Source organism: Homo sapiens, chromosome X (assembly GCF_000001405.40).
Source record: "Homo sapiens chromosome X, GRCh38.p14 Primary Assembly".
NCBI lineage: Eukaryota > Metazoa > Chordata > Mammalia > Primates > Hominidae > Homo > Homo sapiens.
In genome coordinates this window covers 49,044,876-49,070,594 of record NC_000023.11, presented here as the reverse complement: position 1 = coordinate 49,070,594, position 25,719 = coordinate 49,044,876, and the positions used below count along the sequence as shown (strand labels likewise).

Below are 25,719 nucleotides of genomic sequence, written 5' to 3'. Positions count from 1 at the left end.
TTTTTTTTTTTGAGACAGTCTTGCTCTGTCGCCCTGGCTGGAGTGCAGTGGCATGATCTCGGCTCACTGCAATCTCTGCCTCCCGGGTTCAAGCGATTCTCCTGCCTCAACCTCCCGAGTAGCTGGGATTACAGGCACGTGCCACTACGCCCGGCTAATTTTTTTTGTATTTTTAGTAGAGACGGGGCTTTACTGTTAGCCAGGATGGTCTTGATCTCCTGACCTCGTGAGCTGCCCACCTTGGCCTCCCAAAGTGCTAGGATTACAGGCGTGAGCCACTGCGTACCCGGCCTACAATTTTTTTTTCTTTTTTAATTAGCGGGTATGGTGGTGCACAACTGTAGTTTCAGCTATTCAGGCGGCTGAGGTGGGAAGATTGTGAGTCCAGGAGGTCAAGGCTGCAGTGAGCCGTTATCGCGCCACTACATTTCAGCCTGGGCAACAGAGTGAGACATTGTCTCAAAAAAATAAAAATTTTTAAAAAATGTATAGGGAGGTTAAGGACAGAGTCTTTGTTATCACCATTTATATTACCAAGAGTTATTGTTTGAGGTTGGCTAGAAATTTGAGTGCAGACAGGCAAAGAAGTTGCCCCACATCACAAAGCAAGTAAAGTCAAAACAGATGACACTATCACAGGCTATTCCCAAGGTATGTTTTTTCCTGCAAAAATATATTATCTGGTCTTGACTAGAGGTGTGGGTCCTCAAGGTGAGGCAGACAGAGCAGCAACACATGGGTTCAGTTTACACATTTATTATACAAATCCCCTTCCAGTGTGGGTAATGTCTTGGGTCCAGATCCACTGGTATAAAAAGAAAAGCTTAACGCCAGGAAAAGGGGGTAGGGGAACCCCCAGCTCCGAAAATCACAGACAGGTATCATAGAAAACACAACTTGTGTGGGTTTGCTTAAAAAGTGGTGGATTGGGGCTGGGTGCAGTGGCTCACGGCTGTAATCCCAGCACTTTGGGAGGCCAAGGCGGGCAGATCACGAGGTCAAGAGTTCAAGACCAGCCTGGCCAATATGGTGAAACCTTGTCTCTACTAAGAATACAAAAATTAGCCGGGCATGGTGGCGTGTGCCTGTAATCCCAGCTACTCGGGAGGGTGAGGCAGGAGAACCCAGGAGGCAGAGGTTGCAGTGAGCTGAGATTGCGCCGCTGCACTCCAGCCTGGTGACAGAGCAAGACTCCGTCTCGAGAAAAAAAAAAGGGTGGAAGGAAAGCCAAGGAAGGTGTGAGTGGTGAGTGGCCCGTGGCCCGTAGGCAGACCTCACCTGAGGATTTCACTGGCATCTACCGGGTGCCCCTCCTGTGGGGCCTCCTGACTGGGGGTGGTCAGGGCAGAGGCCATGGGCACAGAGGGGGTTGGGCTCTTTCAGGCATCCCACCCAGACTGCAGTCCTTCCAAGTGTGGGCAGAGAGCCCACTGCCCCAACTGCCCTGGCGATGCGTGGCAGGGATTTCTGTTCACACCGGAGTCTCCTGGCTGCCCTAAATGGCCCTGAGACCCGATATGGTCCATTTTATGGAGGGGGTTCCTGAATGGAACCTGGTTGGGCATGGGAACAGGAATGAACCCAACCAGATGAGATCACAGTTTCCCTTTTGTAAAACGCCTAGTGTTGGAGGAAGACAGTGAATACCTAAGTCACAACTGTAAACATAAATGGAGGAAGGGGCTTGGGGTCCCCATGACATCATCCCCCCTCTTTTAAGCTAGCTGAGGGCCCCCAGTCCCCAGCACAGTGTGAGAGAAGAAGCAGGGTGTCAGACACCTTCCTGGGCCTACGGGGAGCCAGGGGCCTTGGAAGATTAGGTTGGCGCACTCTGCTCAGGACTGAGAGCAACCACACCCCAGGGCCCAGCGAGGTCAGCTGTGTGCTCCCCAGATTGGAATCGTGCCCAGGCCAACAAGGGACATATCAGAAGGGGTCAGACCAGTGTCCCCGGGGTCTGGGTGTCAGAACTGGAGGACTGCTCCCCCTCTAGCGTCAGGTCACTTAAACGAGCGCTCAGCTCCGGGGGATACAGGAAGTCCGCGTAGTATCTTTAGAAGGGGTAGCAGGAATCCGGAGGACAGGGCGGGGAAGACAAGAAGAAGAAAAGACAGACAAGACACAGAAAAAGAAAGGAAAAGAGGCTCGTTAAAGAGGTGGAGGCAGGCACAGGACAGCACTTTCAGGCTCTGGGGCATGGAGAAAAAAGGAAGAAAACAGCAAGGGGCATGAGATGTCCCTTCCTCCCGGCACCCTGGCTTCAAGGCTCATCTTCAGCCTATAACTTGATAAAGAATTGCTGCTACCAGTGCCCAAGATCCCCTCCACCAGGACCCCATGGACTAATGCAGGTCATGTGCAGTAGAGTGACCCTGTGCCATCACAGCAGCTAGTTTCCTCATGGTCCAATTCATTAGCTATCATGACTAGCCACTCCCTGGCCTGGATATCTTCGCCATCTGCCTTACGAGACCCCTACCCATCAGTAAAAGCACCCCCCATACCTGCCAGAGACAGGGGGCGCCGTGAAACTCCTCGAGTGTGGGAGTGGCGCCTGGCTGGGGGCCCCGTACAGCGCCTGGCCCACCTCATAGCAGCGGGCATGGAGGAAGGGTGGGTGTGGCGGGCCCACGGAAGGGAGCACAGGCCGGCGCTGGGGCCCCGCAGCCAGTCCCGAGTTCCGGATGTACCAGTCCCGCAGCCCCTCCAGAGCCAGGTTCTTGTGGCCACTGCGTTCACCAGCCGAGGGGATACGGGTGGGTGGGGGCATCCACAGCAGAGGGTTTGGATGCACCTCAGGGCCTTCGGCAGCCTCTGGGGGCAGGCCACAGGGCTTAGTGCGGGTGGCACGGGTGTGGGGGTCCTTGGTGCGGAGGAGGGGGCTGTTGCTGTCAGCTGCATACACAGGTGGTGGGCCGGGGAGCATGGTGAGGAGCCCATCCCGGCGGGAGAGGGGTCCTGGGACCTCAGCTGCAGGCGGCAGCTCCCCCCAGCCTGTTCCACCGCCACTGCGGGGCAGGCCCCGGTCCAAGGAATAGTCCAAGAGGAAGTCTCCACACACAGGTGGGAGCCGGGGGGCACCTCGGGAGGCAGGGGCAGCTGAGCTAGGCCGGGCGGCCCGGGGAGGGTCTGGGGGGCCTGCTGTGCGGGAGGAGAAGGCAGGGGTTGGTTGGGGGCGCTCATACAGCACCTCACTGCTCTTGCAGACTGGGGGGCCAGAGGCAGAGGGAGCCAGAGGGGCAGGCGGGGAGCCAGCTCCCCCACCAGCGGCCCGGTCCACCAGCAGGGCCTCAGAACTGTTGCTGCGGCGGGTGCGAGCTACGAAGAGGGAGGCGCGATCGGAGGCAGGGTCCGCCCGGGGGAAGCCCATCTGGGAGTCCTGGCTGCCGGACCACTGACGAGAATGAAGGCCTTCAGGTCTGGGGTGAGAGGCGAGGGTCATGGGAATAGGGTCAGAAAAATCAGGCAGAAGGCGTGCAGTGCCCTCCCTACCCCAGCCCTTTCTAAGCCTTCACTTTCACATCTCCAAATGGGCCCAAGGTTGGAAGCTGTGTGTATAAAGGTGGCAGGTAGTGACATGTAAAGGGCAGCTGAGGTTCTATCCTAGGCTAGGCGGTCAGGGGTAGAAATGCGTGGGGGAGGCCTGGCACTGTTAGCTCCAAGGGAGGTGTAAATCTGTGTAGGGACTCAGAGGAAAGGCTAGCAGAGTAGATGCCGGGCAGGGGGCTGTTCCTAATCCAGCTGACCCCTCCCCCTGCTAAGGCCGTTCTCATGGCTCGCACGGCCTCCAGGATTAAGTCCTAGGCCTTAGGGCTCACATGTAAAACCCTGCCTGAATTCTCTATCCGACCATACGTATGAACCACCCAAAGCTACCATCCCAACAGCCACCGTTCACAGAATGCAAGCCCCACAAGGAAGGGGACTTGGTTTTGTTCAGAGCCTGGGGAAAGTAGGCACTCTGTTTAAGAAGCAGAAGAGGACAGTGGTTAAAAGCATGGACTCTAGAGTAAAACTTGCCTGGGCTCAAACTCCAGGACTTCAGTTTACTAACAAGTTACTTAACCTTTCTGTGCCTCACTTGCCTCATCTATAAAATGGGAATAACAATAGCACCCACCTCACAGGGATCTGATTATGATTAAATGAGTTGATGCCACGTAAAACACTAATTCCTAGCAGATGGCAGGCACTCAGTATATGTTAACCAGAACTTATTATGTCCATGTCTTTCAAAGGCAGATATTATTATTTCCATTTCACAAATGAGGAGACTGACTCCTACCCCATTATCCACCGAGATGCCTGCTCACCTTTAATGCCCAGCCTCCCATGTCCCACACCTTTTGTTTTTTTGTTTGTTTTGAGACGGAGTTTCGCTCTTGTCGCCCAGGCTGGAGTGCAATGGCACGATGTTGATCTCAGCTCACTGCAACCTCCGCCTCCCGGGTTCAAGCGATTCTCCTGCCTCAGCCTCCGAAGTAGCTGGGATTACAGGCATGCCCCACCATGCCCAGCTAATTTTTGTATTTTTAGTAGAGACAGGGTTTCACCATGTTGGTCAGGCTGGTCTTGAACCCCTGACCTCAAGTAACCCGCCCGCCTCGGCCTCCGAAAGTGCTGGGATTACAAGCGTGAGCCACCGCGCCCAGCCATCCCACCTTTTGATAATGTTGTCCTCAAGCTTCCAGTGAGAACTAATGGTTCCCTCCCCTCTGATCCTCCAGCCCACCCTCAGATTCCCCTTACTTGCAGAGCTGGGGGCCAGCGCCCCGGGTGAGGACAGGGGTGGCAGGCACACTTCGCCCCTCAAAACTGGAGGCACTCCTGGGCAGCGAGCGTGTGGGGCTAGACAGAGACAGGCAGGCCTAGGTTAGAGACTGTACCCACCAGCAGACCCTCTGCCAGCCCAGGCTTGCTATCCCATTCCCAGCTCCTGCGGAGGGGAGGAGGGGCTCATTCTCACCTGGTGGGGCTGGCCACAGAGTTCCGCCGGCTCTTCAGATCCCCATAAAGATCTGATGGAGGTGGTTTCCATGGGGTTCGCCGCTCAGGGCTCCCCCCAGATACTGCCCGCAGCTGGTCCCAAGCCTTGGGTGGTGAGGGGCGCTCGGCCAGAGAGAAGCAGCCATGGGGCTCCTCTGAGTGGAAGAGAGCAAGTGGGATAGAATTCAATGAGGGGGGCCCAGAGGGGGCAGGACAGGCTGGGGGGCAAGGCCATGGGGAGGGGCAAAGTGCTGGGACAGGTTAAGCAGGCTGAGGAGGAACTAAGGCTGACAAGTAGGTTCTGGGGCTGTGGGGCTGGGGTGGGGTGAGGCTAAGAAGATGGGGGACCCATAGGAAGATGGAGCATGGCTAAGGAGAAGCTGAAGCAGCACAGGAGGGGCTGGGCATCAAAGGATGGGCTGATCATGCAGGATGTGGTCGGATGAATAAAGGGGATGGGCTAAAGGGACGTAGGAGTCGGGGGCAGGTTTGGGGGATAGGAGTCCTCACCGTTGTCATGGCTGGCCCCAGACTCTGAGAGGGAGCTGCTCTCTGAGTGCAGAACTACGTCCTCTACAGGTGAGAGGGGGAGAAGTGGGCCTCTCACTCCCAGGCCTGGGTGCTGCCCCCTTACACCACTGGGTGGGCACCTCTACTTGGGCCACCTTCTGGCCAGTTTCCGCCTCATCCTGTTCCTGTCCCAAGAATCTGCTTTTACCAGAGCCCAAGACCACCCCAGTTTGGTTCCTGACTGTCCTGGCAGATATTCATCAGTCCCCCACAGTTTGTCCTTTCCGGTAAGCCAGTTTGTCACAACTCTTCTCACGGGTTGGGCCACTTGAGTTGTGCCTACCTCCCGGTTTTCACCGGCCAGTCACCCATCCCAGCCCTACCACGTCCATTTGCCAGTGTCCACTCTCCCACCCTCACCAGGGGATGCTCACCTTGGCTGAGCTGAGCAAGACGCATGCCCAGGCAGACTCCCTGGGTGGTGATCACTGACCCCGTGGACAGTGGCAGTGGCTGGGGCAGCGGGAGCACTGGGAGGCCAAGGCGGGCCCGGACATCCCTGAGCTGCTCCTCTAGCTCATGCAGCCTCCTCAGTGCATCTGCCTGGACCTGGCGCCGGCGCCGGCGCTGCTCGGTGCTCAGATCAGGGGCCAAGGCCAGGCGGCGGGCGGCCGCCGCGATCTGCTGTTGCACTGACACCTCGCGTTCCAGGGCCTCAAGAGCCAGCTCCTGTTGGGCCCACCCAAATGTTGGAAATGGCCAGGAACAGGGACCTGGCGGGGCCAAACCCAGTAGAGGCTGGCCTGCACTTCCTGCAGCCTATTCAGACCTATTCACCCCGGGGAGGGGGCGTGTCAGGGCCTCTCTTGGTGAAGGGCTGGGTCTGTTCATCTTCCTTAGGGTTGGAGGCCTGTCCTGACAGTTAGGGACCAGCATCCTCCCTCATCACAGGAAACTAACTCCAGAAGCCCTTTTCCTTCTCATCTTAGCCTCTCCCTCACCTGGCCACAAGCCCCCTCCCCACACCTTCCTCCTGGCTACTCCTCTGTACCTGTCCCCTCTTCCCACCCTCTTGCTCTCCACACCCATCTGCTCACCTCAGCAGGGCACAAGGAGTGGTGTGCTTGGTTGGGGTGCGGTGGAGGGTAGGCGCGGGCTGTGGGGGGCCGCCGGCGGACCAACTGGGGCCGTTCACCAGGCTCTAGTGGGCACTCAGGGGGCAGCTGGCCAGTCAGCTCCTGGTGGGAGGCAGGGGTCAGAGACTACCAAGGGTTAGTTGGAAGGATGGGGTGAAGCATTAATGATCCCAGAAGCTACAGAAGTCCTACCAGGAGCCTGGCCCTGCTCAGCAACCACGCACGATACTCCCCTCCCTCCTACCAGTATCTCCACTAGGCAGGTGTGCCCAAACCTCAGTGGCCCAAACCCCTGGGGTGGTGGGCATGGGAGGCAGGGAGACCTGCTTTGGAATCCAGAATTGTTTTGTTTTTATAAAGGTGATACCATCGAGATCCTAAGTATTATATAACTCACTTCAGGGGCTGTGGCTGCGTGGTCTGAGCTGTAGTATTATTTCCGGCACACTGTGGGCATTCACAGTAAGAGGGGTAAACTGAAACTACAGATCAGCCTGTGCCAGTTCAGGTCAGACTGTGCTGCCAAATTTTGGACAGAACCTGTTTTCTGAGGTTTGTTGGATTTGAAATTGTCAACAGTGGGCCTGTATTACCATATTTTTTTTTTTTGAGGTGGAGTTTTGCTCTTGTTGCCCAGGCTGGAGTGCAATGGCGCAATCTCAGCTCACCGCAACCTCCACCTCCAGGGTTTAAGCGATTCTCCTGCCTCAGCCTCCCAAGTTGCTAGGATCACCACACCCAGCTAATTTTGCTTTTTTTTTTTTTTTTTGAGACAGAGTCTTGCTCTGTCGCCCAGGCTGGAGTGCAGTGGCGCAATCTGGGCTCACTGCAAGCTCCGCCTCCCGGGTTCATGCCATTCTCCTGCCTCAGCCTCCCGAGTAGCTGGAACTATAGGTGCCCGCCACCACGCCTGACTAATTTTTTGTATTTTTAGTAGAGACGGGGTTACACCGTGTTAGCCAGGATGGTCTCGATCTCCTGACATCGTGTTCCGCCCACCTCGGCCTCCCAAAGTGCTGGGATTACAGGCGTGAGCCACCGCGCCCAGCCTAATTTTGCATTTTTAGTAGAGACGGGATTTCTCCATGTTGGTCAGGCTGGTCTGGAACTCCCGACCTCAGGTGATCCACCTGCCTCGGCCTCCCAAAGTGCTGGGATTACAGGCGTGAGCCACAGCGCCCAGCCTATTTCATTCATTCTAACACATCTAAGCTGAGCTTTGAGGAGAAAGTAGGTGACAGGGAATCTACAGCCAAGACAAGTGGTTGAGGAATTGCCACCCAAGTCTGTCTACCTAGGGGCCCCAGCTCCTCACCTCCTCCCAACCTCCCCGCCTGATACCCCTAGGGCCAGGCCCTCACCGCCTCCTGGAGACACACTTTGCGGAGCTCCTGAAGTTTCAGGCTCAGGGCCTCCTGCAGGGTCCGCTGCCGGTCAAGCAGCCCCCGCAGACGCTCTGACTTCACCTGGGGGGCAGCCTCTCCGAACAGGGCAGCTGGACACAGAGGGAGCAAAGATCAGTGGGACAGCCAGGGCATTCTGGAGCAGCTGTGGGGCAAGGGACCAACTCTTCCCGAGCAAGCAGGTGGTGATTCAGAGCAGGGGAGGAGGCAGCAGGAGGGGAAGCAGCCACCGACCTGGGGCATTGAAGGTAGGAGAGCTGATCAGCTGACCTTTGACTTCCATCTTGGTGCTGTCGAGAGGCCGTGGCTGATGGCTGGACAAAGTCTGGCAGTGACACAAAGGAGCCGTTAAGGAAGCACATCCCATGATACCCCAACCCCCAGCCCTTCCCAGCTTCCCATGCCACAGCGGGGAATAAGGGGTAACCTGGGCCCCACGTGCCTGCTTGACCTGCCCTTTCAGAATCCGTGTGGATGTCTGGACCCACTTGGCCCTGGTACCTTGGTTCCCTTCGCATTGAGTGAGAGCACAGCAAGTGGGGAGCTGGGCGGACTTACAACGCCTCCTCAGAGGCCCATGGGTCACAGCCACGAGTCTTGCCTGGGGAAGGAGAATTAATGGGACAGATTCAACCAACTATAACAACAATGGACACGCAGTCAACACCTGGGTGCCTGCAACAGTTACCTATGATGCCACACTCAATCTTCAGAGCCACCCGGAAAGATTCGTATCCCCATTTTAGAGATGAGGAAAGGAAGGCACAGAGGTGAAATAACTGGCCCATAGCCACAGACATAAACCAGGCCCACCCCTCTGGTCCTACACTCTCGCTCATGAGAACCGCTCTAACTCCACCAACTTCCTCATAAGCTCCCTGGTCCCTCAGGCCTCAGGGCCTTTGCCCAGGCTGTGGATGCTGCCTGAAGTGCTTTCTTCAACCTCTCACCACCCCAGCCCCTGCATCACACTTATCATTCTAGAACTTAATTATCACTTCCACAGTTATATCCTCTCACAAACGGTTGTCCAACAAGAGATTGTGCCTCCTGGAACATCGACGAGGACAGGAAACATTATCTGTCCCATTTTCAGCAGCATCACCAGCACCCTGAACATGGCTGTACACACAAGTGCTCAATGAATGGGTGCCAGCTGAATGAATAAAAGATAGAGTAAGTAAATGAGGAGGCGGTGGAGCCAGGGTTCAAGCTCAGATCTGTGGGTCTGTGCTTGTCCCAACTCCATTCTGTAGCTCTAGTGTAGCAAGGAGAATGTTCACTTGACCCAGGGTCCCTCCAGCCCCTCTTGCCATGACAGCCTGTCCTGAGCCTAGTGTAGGGAAGTCCTCCTGCTGGGATTTGTGAGAAGCAAAGTCCACAGCTGCAAATAACGAACCACCTGCCTCCTGCCTCCTTCTCTGCCCCCGATGGCTCAGCTGACCATGGAACCTGCCTTGGCTGGCCACCCCTCCTCTGGAGTTTGCTCCCTTCCTTCCACATCATGCTCAGTCCCCAGCTGGGCAGCTGAGTGACATCACCTCCCACCACCTGGCCTAACCTAGGTGGCAGGTGACTGGGAGGGCTTTATGGGGCCACAGAGCTCCATTATCACCTACCTTGAAGTCGGCAGCTTGTCATGACATGTTAGCCTGGTGTGAGGAAGACCCAGCCAACCAAGGAGGCATGGGTTCAAGCCCCTTCCCCATCTGTGTATTGTGGGGTGAGGCCAAGCTGCTTGTAAGGTGTCATGTTTCTCTGCAGTCCTCCTGCCTGCCCCATAGGGCCTGTACCCCTCTCTTGAAGCAGTGGTGCCCTGCCTTCAACAGCAGGGGTGGGGATCAGTCCCTAAAGCCTTTTGACAAACCCAGGCCCCACATCCCCACTCATCTAAGGTCTGACACTTCCCAGCATGGCAGGGGTTCCTCCACATCCCAGATCACTGGGGCTCCAACTTTCCCAGCCCCCATTTAGGCCCAAGGAACTCTCACAGGGTTCCCTGGAACCTTCCTTTACCCCCACAGGAACCCAACTCCATCCACGGTCCCCCTTGCCAGCATTGGTCCCAATCCAATCCCAATTCCATGCTGGGCTGCTTCGATTCTTTTTTTTTTTTTTTTTTTTTTTTTTTTGGAGATAGGGCCTGGCTCTGTCACTTAGGCTGGAATGCAGTGGTGGCACGATCTTGGCTCACTGCAGCCTCCACTTCCCAGGTTCAAGCAATTCTCCCACTTCAGCCTCCAAAGTAGCTGGGATTACAGGTGCACGCCACCATGCCTGGCTACTTTTGTATTTTTAGTAGAAATTGGGTTTCACCATGTTGGCCAGGCTGGTCTCGAACTCCTGACCTCAGGTGATCCACCCGCCTCGGCCTCCCAAAGTGCTGGGATTACATGCGTGAGGCACTGCACCCAGCCAATCCTTTCTTCTCTAATTTCTCAGAGCGTCCTGGAAGTCCAGACAGGGTCCACACAGGAACCCCAACTCCTCCCTATCAGCCCGACCTCGGGGGGACATAGTTAGAGTATGAGTCATGGGGTCACTGGGCAGGCTAGACACAGTCAACGCCCCACACCCCCACACCCAGTTCCTAAGCTTCTGCCTCCGCTCACCTGCCCTCTGCATACTTGCCTTGGGGCCTGGAGCTGCCTCATCCCCGCCCAGATGGCGAGAAAGGGATCCCAGCAAACCCCTCCCCAGCACACCCCCACACCAACCCCAGGTCTCCCCCTACCAGTGACCCCATGGCCCCCATCCTGTCCCAGGGACCAGCTGCAGCGGGAGAGCAGTAGAGGGCACCCCCCACACCCAGAGGCGGGCCCGGCAGGTTTTTCAGGTCTGCCATTCTGACACCACAGCCGAGAAAGAAATTCCTGGCTGTAATAACTGTTTACAACCAAGATACCTCACCTGGGTGGCACCCCAACAGTTGGGGGGTCATTTCCACATCCTGCCACTATTAGAGCAAATACAAAATCTCAATGTCTGGGCCATTACCCTCCCCAGAGCCCCTGCTTCCTCCACTGCAGTGAACAAATCAGGCATAGGCAGGCAGGTGCCTGAGTAATGGTTTCTTAGTAGCCCAGTCTGGTCTTTCTTGGAGAGCTGGGCCCTGGGTTGGGGGAGGACAGAGGCTACTCCTGGCGGGGAGGAAAGGAAGCAGGGATAGGGTGGAGAAGGGGGGACTCATACTTCTCTTTTCCCCGATCCCTCCTCGTCCATTTCCGGCCGGGAATCGGCTTGGTGCCAGGAAAGGAAATTGGTGTTTTGGGCTTTGCCCCTGTCCTCAGGCCCTCCATTCTCACTGCCCCCCTACCCCCCCACCACCACCCTGCCCTGCATTGTTGGTGTGCCTCTCCCACAGACCTAGCTCTCTACCGAAGGGAACTTCAGTACACCCTGCCCCAGCTCCCCAATGCCCTTATCCCCCTCGCACCCTGGGCCCACTGCTCCCAGGTGCTCACCAATGCCAGAGAGTGCTGTGGGGTAGCCTCAGATACCTCAAAAATAGTTGTCTCGACCAGGCCCTGGCTCCGGCTGGTAGTGGCAGTCAGCAGCAGTGGCAGATGCCTTGGCCACCTCCCACTAGGTAATGGCCCAGCCTACCTGGCCAGGAACTGGGCCGGCCCACACCTTTTAACCCTTGCCTGTCTGCCACCAGGACTAGGGTCACCCCTGGGGGCAGTTTCAGGGCCAGGTCCACTCAGGGTGCTCAGCATGTCTAAGAAGACAGCCTGGGCCAGGCAGGGTAGCTGGTGCCTGTAATCTCAGCACTTTGGGAGGCTGAGGTGGGAGGATTGCTTGAAGCCAAGAGTTCAAGGCCAGACTGTGCAACATAATGAGACCCCCATCTCTACAAAAATTTTTTTTAAAACTGGCCAGGCATGGAGGCCTGTGCCTCCTCACCCCGTACACTTAGCAGAAAACTGGGAAGAAGGGCTGAGAGTGGTGGGAGTAGCAGCTGCCTCTCCTACTGCCCAAATTCCCAGAGGATTAGACGCTGCCCACCCAAGGGGCAACTTGGATCTGGGCCATAGAGGTGTGGGGAGCTGTAAAGTACATGGGAGGCTTCGGGTGTAAACTGAGTTTTTGTGTCTTGGCACTAAGCATCACATTCTGAGGCCCCTACCCTTTCCTCCCAGGGCAAGGCAGTGGTAGAAGGCCTTGGGGCAATTCCCACCCTCACTGGGGAATAATAGTTTCCCAAGTTGGGGACAGAGGAAGTCAACCTTTCTAAGGAGAGGTCAGGTCTCAAGATCCTTCTGTGGCTCCAGAAGAAATAATCTCAATAAATCAAGCACAACTTACACCCTACAAAACACTTATGGGTTTTGATCCCTCTTGGTTCCTACAAATGTAGCAGGATGGCACAGACCCAGCCTCCTCACAGCCATTTTATAGATGCAGAAGCTGAGGCCTGGAAAGGTGAAGAGGCCTGATTCAGATCACAGTGGCAGAAGAGCAGGTGAAATCAGAATTTCCGGGGGCTGGGTCCTGGCTGGGAGGCAGACAGAGGCTACTCCTGCAAGTGGGAAGGAGAAGTAGGGAAGGGGGCTCATGCTTCTTCACATCCATGCTGGGTCTCTCTTCTTCAGAGAGTCAGGCTTCATGCCAGAGAAGGAAATGAGAGCTTTGAGTCCTTACGACGTACTGTCCCTGCCTCCCCTCACCCCGCCCACCACCACCACCATCACCACCACCACCATCACCACTACCACCTGAGCTCTGGGCCAGTCCCGGCACACAGCACACATCCTGTGCTCCATTCAGGACCATCTGCTCTGTGACCCAGGGCCCAAGCCCTACCCAGACCCCTGCAGCAGCCCACACCATGACCTGAAGTGAGAAAAGCTGCAGATGGGCTGAGCCTAGAGAGGAGCTCACTCTGAATCAGCAATGCCCCAGACTCATACTATTAAGGCCTCCCGCCATCCCTGCCCACCTTTCTTCCTGGGTGTGAGATTTCCAGCATGGAACACAAAGGCCCCTTTCATCGCCCTCCCCACTTCACTGCCTGGGGCGGGCAGTGGTAAGGTGGGCATTGGGGAGTGTCCTCTCGGCCACAGCCTCTCCCACCTCTTATGGGCCACCAAAGATGTTGGGAAGTGAGACAGTAATAAAATCAGAGCCAAGAGGGATGAGAATCTGGCTGGCAATGTAGATTGAGTCTCAAAGCTTAGGTCTCCTCATCTGTAAAATGGGTAAAAGGTGGTTACAGAGACAATGGAGGCCCCAAATAACTTTGAAAGGCATTTCAAAGTGCAAGGAAACACACCATGTCATTAATGACTCTTACTAACAACAATTAATACACTCACACAGAGGTGGGCTGTTGTGGGGGTAACTGGGGGAGAGCAGGTAACTGGACCTCCTGGGCCAGGCAGACAAATGGGGCAGTCACTAACACACATCATTGCCCTGGTCCATGACTTTTAATAGCCTCGAAGAGGACCCAACCTCTAAGCCCTACCCCAGCTGGGCCCTGGGCCTCACGTGACCCTGCTGTCACTAGTAAATGGTGAGTCTGGGATTCAACCCAGCTCTGCCACTTACTAGCTGTGTGACTGCTTGAACAAGTCACTTAACCTCTCTGTGCCTCTCTGTCAATTGGGGACGATGATAACAGTATGTACCTCACGGGGCTATTGTGAGCATTAAATCAGTTAATACATTTAAAGCTTGTGCAGAACAGTGCCTGGTAAGAGCTCAGTGTATGTTGGCTGTCACAGTTACAAGTATTCTTCCCCACAGGAAGTCAGGAATCAAGTAGATACATTCAGACACATTTTTTCCAGACAGAGCTGGTGTCCTTCAGTCTCACTTGATACATTTGAAACAGTTGTTTTTCCTCAGATAACTTGTCTGAACTCTTGCTATCCAAAATCAGAGACTAAATGTATTCAGACGCAATTTTTTTTTTTTTTTTTTTTTTTTGAGACGGAGTCTCACCCTGTCACCCAGGCTGGAGTGCAGTGGCATGATCTCGGCTCACTGCAACCTCCACCACCCGGGTTCAAGCAGTTCCCTGCTTCAGCCTCCCGAGTAGCTGGGATTACAGGTGCGTGCCACCACACCCAGCTAATTTTTGTATTTTTAGTAGAGACGGGGTTTCACCATCTTGGCCAGGGTGGGCTCGAACTCCTGACCTCGTGATCCACCCGCCTCAGCCTCCCAAAGTGCTGGGATTACAGGCGTGAGCCACCGCGCCCGGCCTCAGATGCATTTTTGAGACAGAACTGGTATCCCTCAGCTTCCAAATCCCACTTGCTATCTAGACACGGTACCCTCCCTGCTCACCAAATGAGACATATTTGAAACAGAGCTGTTTCCCTCATGATCCAACCTCTCCTTTCTCAACATCAAAAATGCAGGAACCAAATACATTCAGAGAAATTGTCTGAACTCTCACCATCCAAATGCAAGAACTGAATGGATTCAGAAACATTTTTGAGATACGACTGGTATCCCTCATTCTTGAACTTTCCTTACCCTCCAAACAAAATGCAGGAACCATTTACATAACAGGGTACCCTCACTATCCCAACTCTTGTCCCTGGAGCTCAGGAAAGTTCATAGATTTGGATACATTTTTTAGTTAGTCATTATTCTTCATTATCTCAATTTTCCCTACTCACTATGTAAGATGTGAAAACAAAATACCTTCAAATAACTTGGTAGGTTTCACTGTCTGAACTTCGGGCACTCTCCCTCTCAGAATTCAGGTACCAAATAGATTGGGAAAGTGAGGAATGCTTGTTTTGTTATCAATAGGTTTGGATAGATTTTCAGGATAAGATAGGTCTGGCATCTTGTTATTCAAACTCACTAGTCTCTATGAGAAATGCAGGAACAAAACCCAATTGAGTAACACATTACCCTCTAGCTATCCAAGTTCTCCCCATCATCCTCAGAATCAAGGAGATTCGGACAATGAGGGGAACACTGCATTATTGTTGTTACTGTTACCACTGGATAGGCCTGATTCTTAAATCCAGTGACTGCCTGGCCTTCTCCCCCAAGACAAGCCCCACAGAGGTGGAGTGGACTTAGCACCAAGATTTTTATTGCTTACTGCTGAGAGAAGGAGGATGAATCCTTGACCCCATCCCTCCTCTATACCAAGTCCCGAAGCCTTGGCCTAGAATAGACTTCTTCTTTTTCAGTCCAGGAAAGCAGGGATCATGCACCCAGAATCAAACATGGCCTAGAAGATTCATACATACCCCTGGGTCCCCCATCTCTTCATATTTTCTTAACTCTTCCCCCCAACATGAGGCAGTCCCCAACACAGCAAGACTGGAAACATGACCCAGACCTCTCAGACTCCCAGAGAGTCACTGAATAATTTAGGGTATTCTTTCACACTTGCAGAGGGCAGGGGCGTAGGAACAGTTGCATGCCCTCCTGGGGCAGGAAGAGAAATGTAAGCTCTATGTAAGATCACTAGGGTGGGGATAGGGGAGATCACACACAAAAACCCCCATCAGCCACGCAGGGCACATAGGGCTGCTTGCTCTTGCTAAGAGAAGCATTTGGGATGTACTTCGGAGGTCCTGGGAACAGCAGAATCTTCAAGTTCCGGGCACAGTATAATGGGACCCCTGTCCTCGGCTCAGAAGGGATGGCAAGTGGATATTAGGAAGGAAGAAGATCTGAACAGGGTGGAGGGGCATGGTAAGGGGAAGAACACCCTGGGGCTGGGATGGGAAGGGACAGAACAGGAAGGAGTGTAGGGGACAAGATAGAGCCAGAGTTATCACAGGATGGAGGTCAAGAGGCAGGATGGGGAATGAGCCAGAACACTGGCCAGGGGATGGGATAAGGTGGGGTTCAGGACAAGGGTCAGAGAAAAAGTACAAGAAAGAGACAAAACAGCAGGGCAGGGGTCAGGATTAACATAGAACAGCAGTCAGAAGACATGACTAGGAAAGGCTAAGCCAGTGGTCAAAGGAGGGGACAGGGAAAAGGGCAGGTTCAGGATGGAGGTCAGGAACAGGAAAAGACCAGGACACAATGAGGATAGGAATGAGTATGGTGATGGGACAAGAAAAGAGGGAAAAACGGGGCAGAGTCAGGGGCAGGGACAAGGCAGGAGACGAAGGTGGTGAGCCAGGATGCAGATCACGAGTATATAGGAGAGGATATCACATAGGGTGCAGAGAAAGGACAGAAGTTAGAGGGCAGGAATCAGGACAGAACTACACCAGATTGTGGTTAGGGGGACAGGACATGACTGGAAGAGGTTTGGAGACTGGATAAGAGTTTAGGGAACAGACAGGTCAAGCGTCAGGACAGAAACTGGGGTCAGTGTTGGGCATTAGGATAGGGCAAGATGTTTCAGAGATGAGACGGGGTCAGGCAAGGATCAGGGTCAGGTCAAAGATCCCCAGGACATAACTGGATGGGGTTTGGGGTCAGGACTGGATTTAGGGGGACAAAACAGGGGTTGAGGACCATACCAGGCCAGAATATGGTTAGGTCAGGGCTCGGATGGAAGGTCCTGAGGCCAAGGCCAGCAGGGGTTGAGGTTTAAAAAAGATGTAGTCAGGTCGTAAGGGGTCAGGGCTGAGGCCACGGGGTCAGAGGTCGCGGGTGCGCGCGCAGGTACGCCCCGTCGGCGTTTCCGGGCCTTCACCCCACCCTGTCCCCTCCCTTCCTCCGCAGGCGGGGCTGGTTACTCACCAAGGGTCCCCGCGCCGCAGTAGGCGGGGTCGGTGTCGGTCGGCCGGCCGGGGCAGTGGACGCGCCCCTCCCTCACTGCGCCCTGCTCGTCCCCGGGCGCGCGCCTGCTCCTCTTCGGCGCCCTGCCCGTGGGCCGTGTTCGGCTGCGCTACCGTTAGCCGTGGGGGCCAGACGGGGGTCGCGGGGAGGGTAGGAGGGGAGCGCCGGCCCGGCCGCGGGCGATGGACCCCCGCCCCCACCTCTAACTCGGGTCTGTCCGCTTCCAGCGGCACGGCCACCTCCGCCGCTCAGCCTAGCCTAGAGGGTGGGGGGACCGGGGGGCGGGGCACGAGACCACAGCAGTGGCGGAGACTAAGTGCGCAAGCGCCGGCTCGGGTCTTCGATTTTTCTTGCCCTGGGAGCGCCAGGAGCGAACAAGCTGGGAGCGCGTGCGCACACGCTTTCTCGAGGGCGGCGGAGCCCTCCCTCGCCGAAGCCACGCCCCTCAGGGAGCCTACTGGCGCCCCTCACCCCAAGTCGTCCCCCAGGGACCCTCAAGCAGTACCCCAAGCTGCTCTCTGTAAGCTCTCCCCACACCTGTAAACCCCAGCTACCCTCCCTGTTGTTCCTCAAATGCACTCCAAACCAACCTCCATTATCCTCCAAATTATATCCCCAAACTACTGTCTGTTGATTCCAAGCGGTACCTCCAGTCCACCCTCTATGGACACCCAAGCTGTGGCAGTAAACTACCTTACACTACCCCCAGTTTGCTCCATCAAACCATCTGCAATCAGCCCTGAAACCATTACCCTCCAAACAGCATGTCCAAATCACCTGCTATCTACTTCCAATGTGCACCCGTAACACCCTCCATTGACCCCAAACTCCTCTCCATGTACCCTCCAAACCATACTCCATTGACCCAAAATGGCTCTCCAGGAGCCCCCAACACCAGCCCAAACATTCCTAATTACCCTCAACGTGGGCCTCACCTGCACCACAAAATAATTCCAACAGTCACCCACACTACCTCCAAACCATGTTCCATGGACCCCTCTTACCCAGCCACCTTTCATTGACCTCCCCTCGTATCCCCACAAAATTACCTTCCAACAGCCCCTATCACTGTGCCATATAACCCAACTATACTTTCTGTGGTCTTTCAACTGCATTTCAAGCCACCCTCCAGCACCATCTACACCTCTAACCCACACTCCACTGACCCAAACTGCACCTCAAACACTCTCCAACAGTCCTCAACTGTACCTCCGAATAGCCACCAACCATCCTGCTGTAGTTACCCAATTGGGCTCCCAAATCATACTCCAGTGGCCCCAAATGTGTCCCCTAAGCCCTCCAAAGACTTACTTGCACCCTGGATCATACTTAAGTGACCTAAATTACAAAGCACTCTCAGTGATTTTTTTCTTAAAACAACTTAACCGGGATATAATTTACGTACCAGGCCGGGAACAGTGGCTCACACTTGTAATCCCGGCACTTTGGGAGGCCAAGGCGAGTGGATCACTTGAGGCCAAGAGTTCAAGACCAGCCTGGCCAACATGGTGAAACCCCGTCTCTACTAAAAATACAAAAAAGTAGCTGGGCATGATGGCTCACACCTGTAATCCCAGCTACTCAGGAGGCTGAGGCAGGAGAATCGCTTAAACCCAGGAGGTGGAGGTTGCAGTGAGCCAAGATAGTGCCACTGCACTCTAACCTGGGCAACAGAGTGAGACTCCATCTCAAAAAATAATAATGATAATTATGTACCATAAAAGTCATCCACGATTAAGTGTGCAATGCAACAACTTTAGTAAATTTACCTAAGTGAGGCACAGTGGCTCACACTTGTAATCCTAGCACTTTGAGAGGCCAAGGTGGGCAGATCACCTGAGGTCAGGAGTTCAGGACCAGCCTGGCCAACATGGTGAAACCCCATCTCTACTAAAAATACAAAAATTAGCCAGGCGTGGTGGCAGGCACCTGTAATCCCAGCTACTCAGGGGGCTGAGGCAGGAGAATAGCTTGAACCTGGAAGGCGGAGGTTGCAGTGAGCTGAGATCATGCCACTGCACTCCAGCCTGGGCGACAGAGCAAGACTCTGTCTCAAAAAAAAAAAAAAAGAAAAGAAAAAAAAAAGAAAAAAATATTTACCAAAGTGTGCAACAATCGCTATAGCCCAGTTTTAGAGCATTTCCATTACCCCAAAAAAATCCCTCATGACTGAATGCCATTCCCATTCCCAACCATAGGCAACCACAAATCTACTTTCTGTCTCTATAAATTTGCCTTTCTTGGACATTTCATAAAAATGCAATATGTGGATTTTTTGTGTCTCACATCTTTCATTTAGCTTGATGTTTTTGAGGTTCATCCGTGTGGTAGCATGTAACAGTGGTTTGTTCCTTTTATTGCTGAACAGTAGTCTATCCAATGATCTTTAACTTCTCTCCAAATTACCCACCAATAGCTCCTCAACCACAACTCAAAACACCCCTCTGACATCCAGACTTCAAAACAGACCCCCAAACTGCACACTGGACCATACCTACCAGCCCTCAACTGTACCCCAGACCACTCTATAATCCCCAAATATCATCACTAAACTTCCCTCCCGAGCCTCATCTTCACCCCTAAAGCACCTTCCAGCAGTCTGCTCTACATCCTCAAACTGCCCTTTATCAACTCCCAAGAATATCCCCAAAATGCCTTTTCAGTAATACCCAAACCTAACTAAACTACTCTCCAACAATTCCAAACCCCACCCCTAAAATTCCCCTTCCAACAGCCCCAGCCATGACTCTACCCACTAACTACCTTCCTTTGGTCCCAGAACTGCAGACCCAGACTGTAACCTCAAACCACTCTTCACTGACCGCCATGCCCAACCTTGTCTTTTTTTTTTTTTTTTTTTTTTTTTGGAGATGCAGTTTGGCTGTTGTTGCCCAGGCTGGAGTGCAATGGTGAGATCTCTGCTCACTGCAACCTTCGCCTCCTGGGTTCAAGCGATTCTCCTGCCTCAGCCCCACGAGTAGCTGGGATTACAGGCATGTGTCACCACGCCCGGCTAATTTTGTATTTTTAGTAAAGACGGGGTTTCTCCATGTTGGTCAGGCTGGTCTCGAACTCCCGACCTCAGGTGATCTGCCCGCCTCAGCCTCCCCAAGTGCTAGGATTACAGGTGTGAGCCACTGCGCCCAGCCCCAACCTTGTCTTAAATTATGAGCAACTACACCCACAAAACATCTTTCAATTTTTCCCAACAATACCACCCAAACCACCCTCCAAGAACTCCCAACTACACCCTAAACTGCCCTCTAATAGCACCCAATGCTACCTGTAAACATTTCCCCTTTACCTCCCCACAGTCTCCCAACTATACCTCCCATCCACCCTCCAATGACCCCCCAAATCCCACCTCAATTTTCCCTTTGATGGCTCCAACTGCACCCAAATGCTTTCCAACAGCCTCTAATTATACTCTCAAACTGCCCTTGGTAACCCCCAACGTAGCCCTAAGTCCTTCCAGTGACCCCCAACTCTTCCCCAAAGCCATCTGTAGTTCTTCCCTGTGGCTGTTGTAACCAATTACTGCAAACTTGGTGGCTTAAAAAAACAAAGAGGGCCGGGCAGGATGGCCCACACCTGTAATCCCAACACTTTGGGAGGCCAAGGTGGGCAGATTAAGAGATCAAGAGATGGAGACCATCCTGGCCAACATGGTGAAACCCCGTCTTTACTAAAAATACAAAATTAGCCGGGCATGGTGGCACATGCCTGTAATCCCAGCTATTCGTGGGGCTGAGGCAGGAGAATCGCTTGAACCTGGGAGGCGGAGGTTGCAGTGAGCCGAGATCTCGCCACTGCACTCCAGCCTGGCGACAGAGCAAGACTCCGTCTCAAAAAAAACAAAAAAAGAAAAAAAGAAAAGAAAAGAAGAAGAAACAAAAACAGAAATTTGCGGTGGCTCACCCTTGTAATACCACCACTTTGGGAGGCCCAGGCTGGCGGATCACTTGAGGCCAGGAGTTTGAGACCAGCCTGGACAACATGGCCAGATCCCGTCTCTACTAAAAAAATTTAACAAAAATTAGCCAGGCATGGTGTAGTCCCAGCTACTAGGGAGGCCGAGGTGGGAGCATCGCTTGAACCTGGGAGGTGGAGGTTGCAGTGAGCCAAGATCATGCCACTGCACTCCAGCCAGGGCAATAGAGCGAGACTCCATCTCTAAATAAATAAATAAATAAATAGCTACCTCTCTTAAAAACAAACAAAAAACAGAAATGTATTCTTTCACAGTTTTAAGGGCCAGAAGTCTAAAATCAGTTGCACTGGGCCAAAATTAAGGTGTCACCAGAGCTGCACTCCCTCTGGAGGCTATAAGGCAGGGATCTCCAACCCCTGGGCCAAGGACAAGTACCAGTCAGTGGCCTGTTAGGAGCCTGAGTGGCAGGCAAGCAAGCATTAACACCTGAGCTCCAGCTTCTGTCACAGCAGCAGCGGCATTAGATTCTCATAGGAGAGCAAACCCTATTGTGAACTGTGCATGCAAGGGATCCAGGTTACATGCTTACAAGATTCTCCTTATGAAAATCTAACTAATGCCTGATCATCTGAGGTGGAACAGTTTCATTCCGAAACCATCCCCCACCACACTCCATGGAAAAATTGTCTTTAGGCCAGGTGAGGTGGCTCACACATGTAATGCCAGCAATTTGGAAGGCCGAGGCAGGTGGATCACCTGAAGTCAGGAATTCCAGACCAGCCTGGCCAACATGGCGAAACCCCGTCTCTACTAAAAATACAAAAATTAATCAGGCATGGTGGCGGGCGCCTGTAGTCCCAGCTACTTGGGAGGCTGAGGCAGGAGAACCGCTTGAACCCAGGAGGCAGAGGTTGCAGTGAGCCAAGACTGCACCATTGCACTCCAGCCTGGGTGACAGAGCGAGATTCCATCTGAAACAAACAAACAAACAAACAAACAAAAAGGACTATCTGTTGCCTCTTCAGGCATTCTTTGGCTTTTGGCAGTCATATCACTACAGTCTGCCTCCGTGGTCAAATTGCCTCCTCCTTTTCTGTCAGTCGAATTTGCTTCTGCCTACCTCTTATAAGAACATTTAGGATTACAGTTAGGGTCTACCAGCTAATCCAGAACAATCTCCTCATCCCAAAATCCTTAACTTAATCACACCTGCAAAGTCCTTTTGTCACATAAAGTAGCATTCAAAGGTTCCAGGGAATTAACCAGGCATGCTGTCACACATCTGTAGTCCCAGCTACTCGGGAGGCTGAGGCGGGAGGGCTGCTTGAGTCCAGGAGATGGAGGCTGCAGTGAGCCGTGATCATGCCACTGCACTCCAGCCTGGGTGACAGAGTGAGACCTTGACTCAAAAAACAAACAAAAAAAATGGGTGAGGGGGCAGGCGCCGTGCCTCATGCCTGTAATCCCAGCACTTTGGGAGGCGGAGGCAGGCAGATTGCTTGAGGTCAGGAGTTCAAGGCTAGCCTGGCCAACATGGTGAAACTCTGTCACTACTAAAAATACAAAAATTAATGGGGCATGGTGCAGCATGCCTGTAATCCCAGCTACTTGGGAGGCTGAGGCAAGAGATTCGCTTGAACCAGGAAGACGAAGTTGCAGTGAGCTGAGATCACACCACTGCACTCCAGCCTGGGTGACAGAGCAAGACTCTTTAAAAATAAAGAGTTCCTTGGCCGGATGCGGTGGCTCACACCTGTAATACCAGCACTTTGGGAGGCCGAGGCGGGCAGATCACGAGGTCAGGAGATCAAGACCATCCTGGCTAACACGGTGAAACCCCGTCTCTCCTAAAAATACAAAAAATTAGCCGGGCGTGGTGGCGGGTGCCTGCCTGTAGTCCCAGCTACTCGAGAGTCTGAGGGAGGAGAATGGCTTGAACCCAGGAGCCGGAGGTTGCAGTGAACCAAGATCACACCACTGCACTCCAGCCTGGGTGACAGAGTGAGACTTTGTCTAAAAAAAATTAATTAATTAAAAAAAAATTCCAGGGATTAGGACATAGGACATAAATATATTGGCAGGGGTGGAGGGGATTATTCAGCCTACCACAACATCTTATGACAGTTAACATCTGTTCCTTAAACCACCTTACAGAAGGCCGAACTCTATCTCTAAAAACCCATCTTCCTATATTCCCTCCAACTGTACCCCAAACCATCCTCCACCCATTAACCGTATTCCCAATCCACCCTCCCAATAGCTCCCACCTGCATTCTTAAACTGTCTTATTGAAGCCCCATTCCTCCCAAAGACCTTCAAATGATCCTTCAATTGCCTGCAAACTGTCCTGTTGTAGAACCCAAACTCACCCCCAAGCCACCTTCAATCACCACTCATATCTATCCCTAAATACCCCCAACTTCACCATCCAGCTGCCCTCCCACTTCGCTCCACATGTCCCCTTCACAGCACCTTGAAGTTGTCTTGCAGTGAAACCCCAGATAAGGTTGCAGTGAGCCGAGATCGCACCACTGCACTCCAGCCTGGATGACAGAGCGAAACCCTGTCTCCAAAAAAAAAGAAAGAAAGAAAGAAAGGAACTCCAACTATATGGCAGGGGTGCAAGTATTGAGAAAGTTGAGAATGAGATATTGATAGAAACTAGGGCCGGGCATGTGGCTCATGCCTTTAATCCCAGCGCTATGGGAGGCCGAGGCGGGCGGATCACTTGAGGTCAGGAGTTTGAAACCAGCCTGGCCAACATGGGGAAACCCTGTCTCTACTAAAAATACAAAAAAAATTAGCTGGCCGCGGTGGCGGGCACCTGTAATCCCAGTTACTTGGGAGGCTGAGGCAGGAGAATCGCCTGAACCCAGGAGGCAGAGGCTGCAGTGAGCCGAGATAGTGCCACTGCACCTCAGCCTGGGTGACAGAGCGAGATTCCATCTCAAAAAAAAAAAAAAAAGAGAGAGAGAAAAAGAAAAAAGAAGTCCGGGTGCAGTGGCTCACGCCTGTAATCCCAGCACTTTGGGAGGCCGAGGCAGGCGGATCACGAGGTCAGGAGATCGAGACCATCCTGGCTAACATGGTGAAACCCCGTCTCTACTAAACATACAAAAAAATTAGCCGGGCATAGTAGCGGGTGCCTGTAGTCCCAGCTACTGGGGAGGCTGAGGCAGGAGAATGGCGTGAACCCGGGAGGCGGAGCTTGCAGTGAGCCGAGATCGTGCCACTGCACTCCAGCCTGGGCAAGAGCGAGACTCTGTCTCAAAAAAAAAAGAAAAAGAAAAGAGAGAGAGAAACCCAGAAAGATGCAGGGTAGGCATATCATGCAGGGTGTCATGGGATATCACTTGTCATGGAGACATTTGAGATGCGTGTGTGAAGCTGGTGTTTGTAGGATTGGGATGTGTGACAAGATAATTACTCTGTGGCTCTACTGCTATAAATATTTGTTGCCAGTCTGTTGTAAGTCTTTTAACTTTGTAGCATCTTTCATCAGACAGTATGTAGTTTTATTTATTGATTAATTGATACAGAGTCTCATTCTGTCGTCCAGGCTGGAGGGTAGTGGTACAAACACGGCTCACTGCAACTTCAAACTTTCCAGGCTCAAGCGATCCTCCTGCCTCAGCCTCCCAAGTAGTTGGGACCACAGGTGTGCACCACCATACCTGGCTAATTTTTCTTTTCTTTTCTTTTCTTTTTTTTTCTTTTTTTCTGAGACAGAGTCTCACTTTGTCCCCAGGCTGGAGTGCAGTGGTGCAATCTCGGCTCACTGCAACCTCCGCCTCCTGGGTTCAAGAGATTCTCCTGCCTCGGCCTCCCAAGTAGCTGGGACTACAGGCCAGGCGCGTGCCACCATGCCCAGCTAATTTTTGTATTTTTAGTAGAGACGGGGTTTCACCATGTTGGCCAGGATGGCCTCAATCCCTTGACTTTGTGATCCTCCCGCCTCAGCCTCCCAAAGTGCTGGGATTACAGGCGTGAGCCACCATGCCCGGCCTAATTTTTTAAAAGTTTTTTTGTACAGACGGGGTCTCCCTATGTTTCCCAGACTAGTCTCAAACTCCCGGGCTCAAGCAATTCTCCCACCTTGGCCTCCCAAAGTGTTGGGATTACAGGTGGGAACCACCCCGCCAGACCCTCCTCTTTCTTCTTTTGTAAAATTAGCCATTCTTACATGTTTGTTTTTGTTTTTTTTGAGACGGAGTCTAGCTCTGTCTCCCAAGCTGGAGTGCAGTGGCACGATCTTGGCTCACTGCAACCTCCACCTCCCGGGTTCAAGCGATTCTTGTGCCTCAGCCTCCCTAGTAGCTGGGATTACAGGCGCACGCCACCATGCCTGGCTAATTTTTTTGTATTTTTAGTAGAGACAGGGTTTTGCCACGTTGGCCAGGCTGGTCTTGAACTTCTGACCTCAAGTGATCCACCTGCCTCGGCCTCTCAAAGTGCTGGGATTACAGGCGTGAGCCACCGCACTGGGCCATTGTTTTTGTTTTTGAGACAGAGTCTCACTCTGTCGCCCCAGGCTGGAGTGCAGTGGCGTGATCTCGGCTCACTGCAACCTCCGCCTGTCGGGTTCAAGCTATTCTCCTGCCTCAGCCTCCCGAGTAGCTGGGACTACAGGCCAGGCGCAGACCACCACGCCCGGCTAATTTTTGTATTTTTGTAGAGACGAGGTTTTGCCATGTTGGCCAGGCTGGTATCGAACTTCTGGCCTCAAGCGACCCACCAACCTTGGCCTCCCAAACTGCTGGATTACAGGTGTGAGCCACCGTGCCCGGCCCATTCTTACATGTTTAAGGCATCATAGGAATTTTAACATTGGATCTACAAGTTCCGTTTTAGAGTTTTGATTGGTACAATTGGTAATGTATTCTTTTTTCTTTTTTTTTTTTTTTTGAGACTGAGTCTCACTCTGTCACCCAGGCTGCAGTGCAGTGACACTATCTTGGTTCACTGCAACCTCTGCTTCCCGGTTCAAGGGATTCTCCTGCCTCAGCCTCCCGAGTAGTTGGGATTACAGGCG

The 25,719-nt window shown here is 53.2% G+C and overlaps 1 protein-coding gene across 6 annotated transcripts, besides 6 other annotated features; it reads right to left on the bottom strand.

Moving 5' to 3' along the window:
* Positions 737–17,023, bottom strand: CCDC120 (coiled-coil domain containing 120). Of its 6 annotated transcripts, none has more exon segments than NM_001163322.2 (11): positions 737–2,051; positions 2,505–3,419; positions 4,750–4,848; positions 4,967–5,141; positions 5,497–5,559; positions 5,931–6,225; positions 6,594–6,734; positions 7,994–8,127; positions 8,306–8,360; positions 8,478–8,636; positions 11,536–11,629. In NM_001163322.2, coding segments are annotated over 9 exon segments (1,950 nt in total). In that variant the 5' UTR covers positions 8,319–8,360; positions 8,478–8,636; positions 11,536–11,629; the 3' UTR covers positions 737–1,936.
* Positions 16,610–16,909: a silencer, noted in NCBI's record as "silent region_20833". NCBI's record gives its function as "represses an Ori minimal core promoter by ATAC-STARR-seq in GM12878 lymphoblastoid cells {active_cell/tissue: GM12878}" and the evidence as "EXISTENCE:reporter gene assay evidence [ECO:0000049][PMID:35858748]".
* Positions 16,960–17,039: a silencer, noted in NCBI's record as "silent region_20832". NCBI's record gives its function as "represses an Ori minimal core promoter by ATAC-STARR-seq in GM12878 lymphoblastoid cells {active_cell/tissue: GM12878}" and the evidence as "EXISTENCE:reporter gene assay evidence [ECO:0000049][PMID:35858748]".
* Positions 16,960–17,255: a biological region, named in NCBI's record as "Sharpr-MPRA regulatory region 13918".
* Positions 16,961–17,255: an enhancer, noted in NCBI's record as "tiled region #13918; HepG2 Activating DNase unmatched - State 1:Tss". NCBI's record gives its function as "activates a minimal TATA promoter and a strong SV40 promoter by Sharpr-MPRA in HepG2 cells {active_cell/tissue: HepG2}" and the evidence as "EXISTENCE:reporter gene assay evidence [ECO:0000049][PMID:27701403]".
* Positions 22,859–23,438: a transcriptional cis regulatory region, noted in NCBI's record as "intergenic|chrX:48904685-48905265 region (GRCh37/hg19 assembly coordinates) targeted for CRISPR interference". NCBI's record gives its function as "positively regulates PQBP1 gene expression in K562 cells {active_cell/tissue: K562}" and the evidence as "EXISTENCE:mutant phenotype evidence [ECO:0000015][PMID:31784727]".
* Positions 23,065–23,258: a silencer, noted in NCBI's record as "fragment chrX:48904866-48905059 (GRCh37/hg19 assembly coordinates)". NCBI's record gives its function as "represses an EF-1alpha promoter that drives an FKBP-Casp9 reporter gene in an ReSE screen in phorbol 12-myristate 13-acetate-treated (for megakaryocytic differentiation) K562 erythroleukemia cells {active_cell/tissue: K562(+PMA)}" and the evidence as "EXISTENCE:reporter gene assay evidence [ECO:0000049][PMID:32094911]".